The 14,698-nt window shown below is 46.8% G+C and overlaps 1 protein-coding gene across 5 annotated transcripts in view, besides 1 other annotated feature; it reads right to left on the bottom strand.

Moving 5' to 3' along the window:
• The window catches only part of CDH5 (cadherin 5), a 38,094-nt gene that overhangs the window by 9,404 nt on the left and 13,992 nt on the right, over positions 1–14,698 (bottom strand). For 3 of the 5 annotated variants that reach the window (XM_047433470.1, XM_047433469.1, XM_011522801.3), the window contains 5 exons: positions 8,284–8,572; positions 6,941–7,057; positions 5,859–6,023; positions 4,791–5,005; positions 2,998–3,245 (listed from right to left, as the gene is read on the bottom strand). In XM_047433470.1, the coding sequence (XP_047289426.1) occupies positions 2,998–3,245; positions 4,791–5,005; positions 5,859–6,023; positions 6,941–7,057; positions 8,284–8,572 (1,034 nt within the window). The remainder of the gene's footprint in view (positions 1–2,997; positions 3,246–4,790; positions 5,006–5,858; positions 6,024–6,940; positions 7,058–8,283; positions 8,573–14,698) is intronic. The other 2 variants (XM_047433471.1, NM_001795.5) reach the window with 1 other exon arrangement.
• Positions 11,658–12,182: an enhancer, noted in NCBI's record as "H3K27ac-H3K4me1 hESC enhancer chr16:66417102-66417626 (GRCh37/hg19 assembly coordinates)". NCBI's record gives its function as "activates a minimal SCP1, AML or CMV promoter by ChIP-STARR-seq in naive H9 embryonic stem cells {active_cell/tissue: H9 hESC(naive)}" and the evidence as "EXISTENCE:reporter gene assay evidence [ECO:0000049][PMID:30033119]".

The raw sequence follows: 14,698 nt of genomic DNA, 5'->3' as shown, positions 1-14,698 counted from the left end.
TCAAGGCTGTGTGAAGAAACTGAAAAGAGTCCAGACAGAAAGAAATAATTTCCTTATGAGGAAAGAAAAATCAGATTTGCCTCAGATGCCCCCACAAAATTAAATACTAGAATACATTGATAGTATTTTTGAAGGGAAGTGTTTATAATCTGAGGATTATACGAATACATCTAGGTGTTATTAGAAGGCAAGGTTGGGCATGGTGGCTCACATCTGTAATTTGAGTGCTTTGGGAGAGGCTGAAGCTGGAGGTTTGCTTGAGGCCAGGAGTTCAAGACCAGCCCAGCCCAGGTGACAGAGTGAGACCCTGTCTCACCAAAAAAAAAAAAAAAAAAAAAAAAAAAAAAAAAAAAAAAAAAAAAGATTAGCCTGGTGTGGTGGTGTGTGCCTGTAGTCCCAGATACTCAGAGGCTGAGGTGGGAGGGTTGCTTCAGCCTAGATGTTCAAGGCTGTAGTGAGCTATGGTTGTGCCACTGCACTCTAGCCTGGGTGACAGAGGAAGAACCTGTCCCCCCCACCCCCCAAAAAAGGCAAAGAACTAAGATATTTGTGTCCTGAATTTTTTTTTGAAAACTTACTGTATCTAACTAAACATCTCAATATAAAGTAAAAACCTGGCATGGGAAGAATTAAAACAAAACTATTGATTTTTTTTATCATACATAGAAAAGCAATGGGTGTGTGTATGTCTATAATAGTTTTAACTAGAAAATATAGGTCCAAGAAAACATTTTAAATTTTGCAGATAGAAGTAAATCTCACTGGTAGAAATAAAAATGGATGCACCTCATCCAAATATCTAGGAGAAAAAAAAAATAAAGAAACATAGACTGTATAGCAAAGATGAGGAAAAAGAAAAAAGCCATTAAATTTGATAAATGAGAAATGTAAAACAAGATAAAAGAAGGAACATCAAACATATCAATTATGATGAAAAATGTAAATAGGTTAAACACAAAGCATTTCAGTTTAGATTAAAAAGCAAAGCCAAATGCATTCTTGTTTTCAAGAGACAACTTAATGCCAAATGACCTGGAAAAATTAAAAGTAAAGGTTGTAAAATTTGCATTAGGCGTATATGAATAACATGAAAACAGGACTAACAAATGTAACATCAGGAAACAGAATTAAAGGCAAAATATTTAAGCAGAACAAATTGGCTAATTACATTTGGATGAAAGTTACAAACCATAATGAAGGTAAAATAGTTGCAAACCTTTGTTAACTGAATAGAAAAATTTAAATACATAAAGTCAAAACTTAGATATTCTAGGAAGAAGTGGACACAAATACAATTGTATCACATCACAGAACAAGCTAAAGCAAAACAAAAAAAACACCCTATGACTTATAAATGAAAATAAAGAAATCAAGTCAATCTCTTAAATAAACCCTTGGATCAAAGGAGAAACAAAAATTATAATTACAGGCTATTTAGAAAAGAATGGCAATGAAGAGTAGTCCCAAAACTTAGGATATGAGGCCAAAATGGAAGAACATATTTTGTCCTTAATAAGAAGACTTAATACCCTTGAAACATTAGCTATACCAAAATTAATATATAAACACTAGAATTCTAATGTTTAAAAAACCTGGATACAAAATTTTAAATTTCACAAAAGAAAAAATGAGAGTTGACAAAAAATTATATCAAATAAAAAAGCAACATGGGAAGGACTTTTATGTATATCTAAGATCTAGTGTAAAGCTATATGGTTTGGATCTGTGTCCCCACCGAATCTCATGTTGAAATGTAATCCCCAGTGTTGGAGGTGGGCCCTGGTGGGAGGTGGATAGACCATGGGACAGAGTTCTCATGAATGGGTTAGCTCCATCCCCTAGGTTCTGTTCTCAAGCTAGTGAGTTATCATGAGACCAGGTTGTTGAAAAGTGTGTAACAACTCCCTTCCCACTCCTGTTCTGGCCGTGTAAGACGTGCCTGCTTCCCCAGGACTGTAAGTTTTCTGAGGCCTCCCCAGAAGGAGAAGCCACTATACTTCCTGTTAAACCTCTTTTCTTTATAAATTACCCAGTCTTAACTATTTCTTTATAGGAGAATGGACTTATACAAGCTAGTAGAATAAAACAGAATAGCTTTGCTATAGAATGATGGATAGGACAGAGAATTAGAAGTAGATACAGGTATATACAGAAAACTTAGTATATAATGAAGGTGGGAAAACGATGACTTATTATTATAATATTTAGTAAATGGTGCTGGCAAAATCAGCTATGCATCTACAATAAAATAAGATTGAATTGAATTTATACTTACTATTGCATATTATATGGCTCTAAAAAGTATCTGTTGGAACTATATCATTTTTTTCTAAAGATTGTAAAAGAGAAATTTAGTTAAGATAGAAGAGCAAATATCGATGAAACCAGCATGGCATGATCCAAAAAAATTTTAAAACAATCAAACATCAAAAGCAAACAGACAACAACAAACCCACCATAAATGCATCCACATGTTTGTGTGGTCACGAAAAGAAAGGAGCAATAGGACCAGGTTAGGCCACGAACATGAGTTATCTGAGAGTGGGGGTTATCAGTGTTTTCTTGGTAGATCTCTGTGTTGTTTCACTGTATAAAATGAACACTTCTTACTTTTGTGGTTTGGGGAAGATAGATTCAAGAATACAGTTTTAGTGAAGGGGCCTCTGGTGTGTCGTCTGATTGGTTGCTTTCTTGACTGTCAGATCTTACCACATAGGACTGGTGAGAGCTGTGGTGCAGAGAATAAGCCTTCAAGGCCGGACAGAGGACAAGTAGCTCTGGATGCCCAGGACCATGCTAGGTGGGGGAGTCCAGGCAGGTCAAGATGCCAGGCTGCCAAGTGCAAGAGCTTGGGCTTCTGGTCTTGCCTCTGTCACTTTCCCTGTAAGTGCTAGGAGAAGCCAGTTCCCCTCTCTGAGTCCTGGCCTCAGACCAGCAGGCATAGGAACATCCAGGCCGGATTGTCCTTATCATTCTCATCGACACACGCCCCCTTACCCAATGCTATGCCTAGCCGCATCAGGGTCCATGGCCAGCACTGTGCCAATCAGAGGCTTCTTCTGGTTTTCCTTCAGCTGGAAGTGGTAGAAAGGCTGCTGGAAAATGGGGGGCTCGTCCACATCTGTGATGTTGATAATGACCTGGGCTCTGTTTCCCGCGGGAGGGCTCATGTATCGGAGGTCGATGGTGGGGTCTGTGGCCTCGACGATGAAGCTGTATTGCTGGATGTATTCATAATCCAGAGGCTGCGTAAGGAAAAAGGATGGTGAGTGCCTGCTCTGGGCCAAGCATGTGTGTGGCACATGATCTGCACAGCAACTATGCAAGGTAGTACCAGGATGACACCCATTTTATAGATGAGGGGCCCATGGCCTCGACAAGTGATATTTCTGAGGTCATCAAGACAGCGGCTGGGCCTGGTGTCTGTCTTCAGCTGCTCCCCATTTCATCTCAGCAGCCTCATGGCCACACCCACAACCCTGGCTGTGTGCCTGGCCCTATTTCCAGCGTTTGGGACATAGAATGGATCAACTATGGTCCTGCTCTTAAGAGCGTCACTAGTGGTTCTACCCACAGGTCCTTAAGGACAGGCTTTTTCTTTGTTCTTGAGACAGAATATTGCTCTTGGTACCCAGATTGGAGTGCAATGGCACGACCTCCGCTCACTACAACTTCCACCTCCCAGGTTCAAGCGATTCTCCTGCCTCAGCCTTCCAAGTAGCTGGGATTACAGGCACCTGCCACCACGCCCAGCTAATTTTGGTATTTTTAGTAGAGACGGGGTTTCACCATATTGGCCAGGCTGGTCTCAAACTCCTGACCTCAGGTGATCCACCTGCCTCGGCCTCACAAAGTGCTGGGATTAGAGGCGTGAACCACCGGGCCCGGCCGGACATGCTTTTTCTTTATGCCTTTGCTCAAGATCCTTCTCCTGCCCTTGCCTGCCTAGAAAACTCCTACTCATCCCTCAGGAAGCCAAGCAGAAGGTAATCAGATGCTCTCTCAGAAACCCCTCCTAGCAGAGGTAATTGCTCCCTGTTCAGAGCTGCTGTGTATCACTTACACCTGGCTGTACTTTTTTTGTTCATGCATATGTCTTCCCCATTCGCTGAGACCTTTGCTGACACTGGAGGCTGTGTCTGCCTCTCCTTGGTGTTTCCAAGCCCCAGCATGGGGCTGGTTCAGAGAAGGACTCAGGCCCAGGACTTGCAATCCTCTGCATGGCCATTCCAGAGGCATTTTTTATGCCCCTCACAGGACCTCTCCCTCCTCTTCCAGATTCAGTTAATCTGGCTTCTCTGGCTGTCAGCAGCATCCAGTGTCAGTGGCCATCCATGTCACCACAATTACTCACTGTTTTCTTCATGCTGATGGATTTCTACTGGCCAGGACACATGGCAGGCCAGAAAGTGCCAGAGAGGTAATAACTCCAGGGGCAGCCCCCAGTCAACACCACGGACAGCGGGTGTATAAATACCCCAGCTCCTTCACCCTCAGCTTCTCCAACTCTGGGATGTGTTCCACACTTACCCCGCAGTGGGTCATTGCTCCTGGGGCTTCCTGGGATCACCTCCCAGATAAACAATTTACACCCAGTCATGGCCTTAAGATTTGCTTCCCAAGTAACTCGGCCTAAGACACTGGATCACAGTCTCCATGAACACATGACCACCTTGGAGCTTTGATGGTCCTTTGATGGTCTCTGGCCCAGGAGCAATCCCCAAGCAGGACCTGTGGGTGCCAAGAGCCCCAAGCCTCACGTTTGACATTGTTGCCATTGGCCTACAAACCTTCATGGGCTTGATGATGCCCTCGTTGTGGGCGGGGTTTGTCTCAATGGTGAAAGCGTCCTGGTAGTCGCCCCGCAAGATGCTGTACTTGGTCATCCGGTTCTGGGGCTCATCTGGGTCCTCAACAAACAGAGAGCCCACAGAGGTGCCCACACGGGTGTCTTCAGGCACGACAAATGTGTACTTGGCTGATGCAAACAGAGCACCCCAAAGGGCTTTGGGTTAATGAGATAGACAAGGCGATTGCCTCTTTCAGCTATTCTAACATATTTTGATAAAAGAAATGGGCATAATAAAATAATCATAAATAATAATACCCCTGGGATTCTCAAGGTAAAGAGGGTCTTCCCTATCTGTATGTCCATCCATCCATCCCTCCATCCAATAAATAGCTATTGAGCACCTATTGTATGCCAGGCACTTTGCTAGGGGACCTATCAATGGACAAGAGAGACAAGTCCTGCCTTCAGGGAGCTTATGCCATGTACGAGGAAGCCACTTCAGGACAATTGGCCTGTCTCTAGGGTGGCTGAACAACTGAATGACAGTATCAGCACTGGGAGTTGCAAGTGGAGAGCCATCTGCCCCAGGCATGGGAAAAGCTCTCATTAGACATTCTCTGTGGGGTGGATCAGTGTGTAGGTGGGGTCAGGGCCCAGCCCTGGCTCTGGATATAGAACTTTGCTGTCCCCATGTTCACTGGCTTGTGGGAATTTCTAGCTGGGACCTGAGTCTCAGGGCTTTGATTTTCCCAAGCCCATGGGATCTGGGTGAAACTGCTTGTGTCTCATGGTGGGACACAGTACAGTGGTGGCACCCAGCAGGGAGTGGGATTTCCCTCTGGCCTATGAGGGGATTGTGGCAGGGGGCGGCAGGATGGCCTTGGGAATGTGGTATTGGGATGGAAGCAGGGCCCCTCCCTTCACCCAAAGGACTCCTTTGGGCATCAGGCCTACCCTGGGATAGAGGGAGAGGTAAAGTGATTTGTAACTCTTTTCCCAGAGCCCCAAGTCACTGAGTCTGGGGTATCCCAGCCCCCCTTCCCAGGGCCCTAGAGGAGGGGCTCACTCTGGGTGAAGAAGGGGAAGTTGTCATTGATGTCTTGCAGAGTGACCAGCACGGTGGCCGTGCCCGAGTCCCCCCGGAGGCCCTGGGCATCTCGCGCTTCCACCACGATCTCATACCTGGCCTGCTTCTCTCGGTCCAAGCTTTTCGTTATTGTGATAATACGTCCTGCAAAAAGATTCCCAGCAGGAACCATGTTACCAGCTTCTAGAAAATACCGATGCCTAGGGCCTGCCCAGAGAGAACCTGACTTAAGAGCTTCCCTGGTGATTCCACTGTGCAAATGGGGCTGAGAACTGTGAGTCTACAACCCACTACCTCCATAGCCTATACTGTGAGGCCAAAGCTGGCCCAATAGTTGGGTTCGGTATTGGTCCTCGCCACCTGAAATATTGTGTTGACAAAGACCATGAGGCCATATCTAGGCTCAGATGGAAAGAGTGCTGTGATAGATTAGTGATGTCTGCCTTGGTGCACTGTAGCATAGTAGTGGCATCTGTGCTATGTATTTGCCATCTCTCTGAAAGACAGTTCCACTGGACTTCTTTCTTGCTCCCAAGAGTCAGTCCTTATATTTTTTGTTAAGTCATCACATAAGCAATTACTATGGGCCTTGCTGCCTTTATACATGATCTAACTCAAACTTTACAGCTACCATACGATATAAATATAAGCATTCCTACCTCCTAGATGAGGGAACTAAGGCTTGCAGAAGTTAGTTGATTTGTCCAAGGTCTCTAGAGGGGGTGAGTGGCAGAGCTGGCTTTGGAAACCAGATCTGTCTGAACCTGCACCCAGAGCGGCTAGCCACCATCCTCTGCTGCCCCTTGGCCACTTCTTGGGTAACAAGATCCTGATTTTGTTCCCTGGACTTGAGTCCACCTCTTGGGCACCTGCCTGCTTCCTTCTCCCTTGACCAGCCGCCTTGTCTTTACATATGATACTGACTACTTCCATGGTACAGTGTGGTTCAGTAGCTAGTGACACCTGTCAGACTGGACTTCCCTTAGCACATGCACCTGGAGTATCCACCTCCCCTTGTCCCTCCAAATCAGTGACTGTCCAGGAGTGTTAGTCACACAGACCAGAATTATCGATGGCAAAATACTCTTTCCCCTTCAGGATTTGGTACATGACAGAGGCGTGGTCTCCCACAGTGGGGTCGTCTGCATCCACTGCTGTCACAGAGATGACTGAGGTCCCTGCAGAGAGAGAATCCTGGGGTTGCTGACTTGTGACTGCTAGGCCCCTTACCCCATTCCTGGAACAGAGCAGATGGGGCTCAGGCTGTGCTCTGTCCCCACCTCCCCCAGGTCCTGGGAATAAAAGGCTGTTTTGTTTTCTGAGGAGCCTGCATGGGGGCAAAGTGCTGGTGGCAGTGGGGGCCCAGCCAGGTCAACCTTGAAGGGGTCAAAGAGATCAGGTGGTTTGTGTGCTTCCTGGGGAAATGAGGGAGGGGGCGGAGGGTTGGGGTCAGGGAGAGAAATGGAGGACAGCAATGAGCTGCTTCTCCCTCTCCTGGAAAGGTGCCCCCAAAGGAGTGGTGTCATTTCTTGCATCCCCTTGAACTCCAGGATCTCACACTCAACCCGAAGGTCTGGTCCCAGGGCCCTGGCTGGAGACTCTGGACTGAAGAGGGAAGCTCTTTTCTGGCACCCTCTGGAGTCTGAGGTGTACTGAAGAGGTGGAGTAGTAACCTCCTGAGCCCAGAGCCCAGGCTGGTGACATACCTTGGGGCTAGTGCTCTGTCCCCCACACCACTCCTGCATGGCCCCTAGAGATGAATCCTTTTGCCTTAGTGGCAGGCCATGACAGTCGTCACATGTAAAGGCTACACTCTTGGTGTGCTAGTCCTGACAGTCAGAGGAAGTGAGTGAAGTTTGTTCCAAAGAGTAGTGAGATATGCCTCTGATGGCCAGGGGTGAGTTCATGATCAAAATCAGGGCACAGTCTATGACTAGGGTCAGGACTCAGTCCATGATCAGAATCAGGGCTCAGTCTATGACTAGGGGCAGGGCTCAGTCCATGATCAGGATCAGGGCTAAGTTTATGACTAGGGTCAGGGCTCAGTCCACGATCAGGATCAGGGCTTGGTCTGTGACCAGTGTCAGGGTTCAACCCATGATCAGGATCAGGGCTCAGTCCAGGATCAGGATCAGGGCCAAGTTTATGACTGTAGTCAGGGCTCAGTCCATGATTAGGATCAGGGCTTGGTCTATGACTAGGGTCAGAGCTCAGCCTGTGGCCAGATCAGAGCTTGTTAGGAACTAGAGTTTCTTTCAAATCATGTAAAGTGGCAACACAGGCATTACAATCACTACCCTGAACTCACTGGATTCCTACCCCAGGCAGTGAAGTGGCTGATGTGAGAGGTGCCCCCAGGCTGGGGATGAGGGAGGGAGGAGGACAGAGTGGGCATGCAACGTACCCACAGCCGACGACTCAGGCACGGACGCATTGAACAACCGATGCGTGAACACAGGCCAGTTGTCGTTCACGTCATGAACTTTGATGGTGAAGCTGGAAGGAGTCTCCAGGTTTTCGCCAGTGTCCTTGTCCACAATGACAGCAGTGAGGTGGTACTCTGAGATATTCTCCCGGTCCAGCCTCTCAATGGCGAACACGTCTCCTGTCTCTGCATCGACCCGGAAGACCTTGCCCACATATTCTCCTTTGAGCAGGTACTTGGCATTCTTGCGACTCACGCTTGACTTGATCTAGAAAAGAAGAGGTGACGTGAGCTGGGAATGGGCGGCAGTGGCTGTGTGTGAGTGTGTGAGTGAGAGTGTGTGTACACAGGTGTGCCTGTGCATGTGTGTATGTGGTGTGTGTGGTGCTGGCCAGGGTCCCTAAATATGATACTGAGATTTTTTATCAAGAACCTCTGGCAGCCATAAAAAAGAATAAAATCATGTCCTTTGCAGGAACATGGATAGAGCTGCAGGCCATAATCCTAAATGAACCTAAGTGAACTAACCCAGAAGCAACAAATCCAATACCACATATTCTCACTTATAAGTAGGAGCTAAACAATTGGTACATATGGCCATAAAAATGGAAATAATAGACACTGGAGACTCCAAAAGAGGGGAGGTTGGGATGAGGGCGAGGGTAGACAAATAACCTATTGGCCATAATGTTCACTATTTGGGTAATGGGTATGCTAGAAGCCCAATCCCCACGAATATGCAATATACATGTAACAAACATGGACATGTACCCCTGAAAATAAAATTTTTAAAAAGCCAAAAAAAAAAAAGAACCTCTGACTAGTCACCAATGAGTTGTTCTCATGGTGTGAGTTGCCTGGCAGAGCCCCAGCATGCCTAGAATGGTGCCTGAACAGAGTAGGTGCTTAGAAAACATTTTTTGAGTGGAAAAAATATACCTGGTGCCATTGGAAGGCAAAGGATATTTTTGCCCTGTAGAAGTCACTTAACCTCTCTAAGTTTTAGTTGCCTCATTTGTAAAATGGAAATATTGCTTCTGATGTTGCTTTGCTCTGAGGAGTAGAACAGCACTTTTGAAGATGAGTTCTGGGAAACACTGAACTCTTCTGCTGTTCCACGCAAAGATGGGGTCCTAGCCAGTGGTGTGCTGGCGCTGGATTGTATCAGCTTGGCTTTCAAGAACCAGCTTAAATTTTCAGGAATATTTGTGAGCTGATTGTTAAATACAGCCACTATTACAAATTAAATTATATGAACTTACAATTAAATAAATCATGAAAAACAACGAATTCTCAGAATTCATCGCTTCCTAATTGTTTTGCTACCTTTGACTGTGTTTTGAGGTTATCTGTGTTTATGGTATCTGTATGATGGAAATGCTACATAATGATGTGCTCATGAGGATCTTCTCCTGTCTTGTCTTGGCCTTCGATGACATCACATTGATAGCTTGAAATGAGACATGGTGAGAATATTTACACCATGGAAATTGGCAAGTGCTACGCATCAGAACTTTTCCCCTGGACAGCCAGTTGTCAAACATATATCAGCACACCCCTGGGCCCAGTACAGAAAATGGTGCATAAAATATTCTCTTCTTGGAGATTTACAATGTACAGCTCTGCAGAAAAGAACTCCAGTGAGCTTTGTGTAACTCAGGATTTTCCATACTTCTTAGACCACAGAACCATTTTTCTGTGTAACATGTACTGTTCATGTCCCAAGGAGTAAGATTTGGAAAATAATATATGTAAAGCATCTTACACCAAACAGGGTTCTATAAATGCTAGCTAATAATTATCAATAATAGAGCCACAGGTTAGAGGATCTCCATTTAAAGAATCATAGAAACAGAAAATATTAGGAACGGTATAGTTCCTATAGAATAGTATTCTATGCATATACAATGATACTCTCATAGAAGGTTAGTATGTCCCCAAAATAGAATTCTATTCAATTAAAAAATATAACTTGGTGCCTGGGAGGTGCCAGGCCCCCACTAGGAGTACAGAGGGTACAGATCCCATTGTGGCTCTCAGGATCTAGGTTTGCAGCCTCAGAGGCTGGCATGCTGAGGAAGTGCAACATTGCTTTTTTGTTTGTTTGTTTGTTTTTTGAGTTTAGCTCTGTTGCCCAGGCTGGAGTGCAGTGGCACGATCTTGGCTCACTGCAACCTCCGCCTCCTGGGTTCAAGCGATTATTCTGCCTCAGCCTCCTGAGTAGCTGGGATTATAGGCATGTGCCACCGTGCCTGGCTAATTTTTCTATTTTTAGTAGAGACAGGGTTTCACCATGTTGGCCAGGCTGGTCTCAAACTCCTGACCTCAAGTGATCTGCCTGCCTTGGCCTCCCAAAGTGCTGTGATTACAGGTGTGAGCCACCACGCCCAGCCTCTTTTTTTTTTTTTTTTTTTTGAGACAGGTACTCCGGAGTAGCTGGGACTACAAGTGTGCACCACCAAGCTCGGCTAATTTTTGTATTTTTTTGTAGAGATGAGGTCTCACTATGTTGTCCAGGCTGTTGTCAAACTCCTGGGCTCAAGCAATTCTCCTGCCTTGGCCTCTCAGAATGCTGGGATTACAGGCATGAGCTACTGAGTCTGCCTCACATTATTTAAAGTCAAATAGAGCAAGGGCTTTTGTGTGAAGGCATCTGGTGAGGACTCTTTAGAAAGGCTGGACTCGGGGGGCATGGTGGCTCATGCCTGTAATCCCAGCACTTTGGGAGTCCAAGGTGGGTGGATCACTTGAGGTCAGAAGTTTGAGACCAGCCTGGCCAACATGGTGAAACCCCATCTCTATTAAAAATACAAAAAAAAAAAATTAGCTGGGTGTGGTGGCACACCCAGCTGTAGTCTCAGCTACTTGGGAGGCTGAGGGAGGAGGATCATTTGAGCCTGGGAGGCAGAGGTTGCAGTGAGCCAAGATCACGCCACTGCACTCCAGCCTGGGTGACAGAGCGAGACTCAGACTCAAAAAAAAAAAAAAAAAAAAAAAAGGCTGGACTCCTCCAGAGAACTCAAGAGAGGCTGGGGTCTCAAGAAAGAAGAGGGAGATTCCAGAGGGTATGGCCACATCCCATGAGGTCTGGAAAGTGTCCCCAGGGTTTAGCAGCAGTGCAGTCATTGGAGCCCTCAGTGAGGGCACTGACAGGGGTTGATAGGGTGGGAAGTTAGATGATGCAGCCTAGGGAAGATTCTAGAAGGGGAGGAAGTGGAGACAGGGAGTGAGGATTGCCCCCTTGGTCGGGCAGGGTGGGAGAGAGGTGGGCAGCAACAAGCATCTTGGAGCAAGGCTGTGGCGTGCAGGGGGCAGGTGGGTTCATGAGGAGGTACTAAGGCCCAGTGGCCAGGATGCATGATGAACAGCTGGACTAGAGGCAAGAAGCCATGCCTCAGCTCTGTAACCTGTGACCTGCGAGGACAGTGGAGACTCAAAGAGAAGGGGACAGTTTGGGGCCCTGTGTGAGTTGCTCAAGGTGAGGATAAGATGGTGGCCTTCCAACTGGGCTCTCGGTGAGTGTGTTAGGACCCACCAGGGCAGGGAGGATGGAGGGAGGAAATCAGCTTGGATCTGTGTGATTGGAGTTCTGCATACAATTTCATGTGAATATCCAGTTTCTGTTTTCCTTCCCTTCAATTTTTCTTCCCTAGACTTTATTTTTTAGAACAGTTCCAGATTTACAGAAAAATTGAGAAACTAGGGCAGAGAGTTTCCAGATGCCTGCTCCTCTTTTTCCCGGAGTATGAACATCTTACATGAATGTGGTGCATTTGTTATAATTAATGGACCAATACGGATGCATTATTATTTACCAGAGGGCATAGTTTATGCAGAGTTCCTTAGTTTTTTTTTACCTAATGTCTTTTTTCTATTCCAGGATCCCACACTGGATACTACATTCCACAGAGGTGTCATGTTTCTTTAAGTGCCTCATGGCTGTGATAGTTTCTTAGACTTTCATTGGTTTCTGATGACCTCGACAGGTTTGAGGAGTATGAGTCACGTATTTTGCAGGATGCCCCTCTGTTGGAATTTGTCTGATGTTTCTCTCATGATTAGATGAGGGTTATGGGTTTCTGGGAGCCTCCACTCTCCCTACCCCTGTTTTCTAAGATCACTGTATTTAAACATAACATCTTAATGCCAAAAACCCATATTTGTGGGTTCAGAAGGCGGCTCAGGACTTGCTCCCATTGTCCAGCCAGGTCTGTAAACAAAGGCTCCAGGCTCTGACCTTGATAAACAGGGACTTCCTTCCCTCAGATTACATCCTCAGGAGCCGGAGGTGATCCTTGGAGCCCTGTCCTTGTCTTTTCCAGGCACCCTTGTTTCTTCCCAGCGTGACGACCCCTTGTGGTTCCTCGGAGACCCAGCCCCATGCCAGGGGCCAAGTGAATGCTGTTGGCAAATGACAGCAGGCCTGGCGTTCTTCCTGCTGCTAGAAACCCTTGGGCGAGCCCTTGAAAGGTAGCCCCCACTTTCTACGGACTTTCCCTGACTCACTCCATAGATTTTCCTTGAGGTCAGACATTCTTTTTAGAGGCTGATTCAAGGCACAATTATCCCACCGGGAAGGATGCAGGTGGATTGACGACATTTTCCTGTATGACACAGAGCTCGCATTTGTGTTGAGAGTCAGGAATGCTGGTTTTCCTAGGGCGGCATTCTCCTGGGGCTCTGTCCTGGTCTCCTAGTGTGACCCTGGGCAAGTGTCTTCCCCTATGAGTGGCCATGCTGGAGGACTTCAAGATCCCAGTTATTGTTGGGAGCCATGGGCACAGCCAGCTGGTTGTGGGTGGGGCTCCGAGTGGAGATTCCCCAGCTGGCCCCATTCCCATCCAATTTTGTCAGATGCTACACAGATCTTTCCTAATTTCCCAAATGGGAAAATTTCATGGCAGCCATGGTTGGCCCTGCCCTAAACCCTGAACCCTGGGGCCACACCGGCCTTCTCAGTCTGAGCATGGGATGGCCCTATAGCCAGTCCACGGACCAAGGTCTGCTGGGGCATTTCTGGTGCCATGGCCAGACTGGGCCTTCCCATCAAAAGTTCCTCTCCAGCCTGTTTCTCTACAGCCAGAGGGCACCCCCACACCATTTGTGGGGTTCTTTGTCTGACATATGCTGCCCCTCTAGACCAGGATGGGTAAACTGTTTCTGTAAAGGGCAGGGAGCAAATATTTGTAGCCTTATGGTCATTTGGTCTTTGTCACCACCACTCAACTTTGCCATTGTAGCATGAAAGCAGCTGCGGGCAATCTGTAGATGAATGAGTGTGGCTGTGTTCCAATAAAACTTTATTTGCAAGTCCAGGCAGTGGGCTGGATTGGGCCCGCAGGGGGTAGTTTGCTGATCCTTGCTCTAGACCACCCTCTCCATGAGGGTGGGGACCATGTCTGTCTTAGCCCACTGTTGTTACCTTTCTGGCACCCAGTCCGGTGCTTGGAATGGTCCTTCCTTTCTCTAGCACATTGACATGTTCTTTTTTGCACCTGTCATTTAGATTCCAAGAAGCTGACAAAGTGAGATTTTAACGCACTCAAAATAAACTTTCTTCCTCATTGAAAACTCTGAAAGCACACGGTCCATCTACCTGTCATTGTGTGTGAAATTCCACTACTAGGGCCATTCCTTTCAATTAGACTGGATAGCTTTGACATCAGTGACAGTTTGACATGGTAAGGCAATTCAGCAGTCACTCAGATATGCTCTGAGCTCTAGGAGGATGGGCTTAGGATAGACATGTTTTAAAGGAGGACAAAGTGAGGGTCAGAGTCTGAGGTCCTGCCCTGGAGGGCAGGCTTGGGTCAGGTACCTCATTACAGGTGTTGTGGAATATGGGGAGCTGTGTGGGGTCACAGGGAACCAGGGATAGCCTGAGAGAAGGGGTTTTTGAGGAGGTTCAAAGGCCTAGACTGGAGTTGGCAAAAATATGGCCTGGATGATTAACTTCATCTTCAGCACAATTTTGTGGAAGGCTGCACAGTTCTTTTCCGATCTTTCAAATGGGAAAATTTCACGGCAGGGTTGGCTGGTCTTGTCCTAAACCTTGAACCCCCAGGCCAGGTGAGCCTCATCAGCTTGGGCACTGGATGGCCCTTCTGTTAGTGATATCTAGTTTACAGACCAAGGTCTGGGAGAAATTGAACCATAGAGTTCACCACCACCTCCACCACCATCATCATCACCTCCATTATCACCACTATCAACACTTATCTTTCATCACTACCATCATCACTACCACCATCTCCATCAACACTTATCCTTCACCATTACCACCACCATCATCACCACCATCACAACCACTATCACAACCACCACCTTCCCCTTTACCATCACTACCACCACCACCACCACCTTGTCCTTCCCCAACCTCACCACCATCACCATC

This window comes from Homo sapiens, chromosome 16 (assembly GCF_000001405.40).
Source record: "Homo sapiens chromosome 16, GRCh38.p14 Primary Assembly".
NCBI classification, from domain to species: domain Eukaryota; kingdom Metazoa; phylum Chordata; class Mammalia; order Primates; family Hominidae; genus Homo; species Homo sapiens.
Note: the sequence above shows the minus strand (reverse complement) of the source record. Positions and strands in the feature narration are given on the sequence as shown.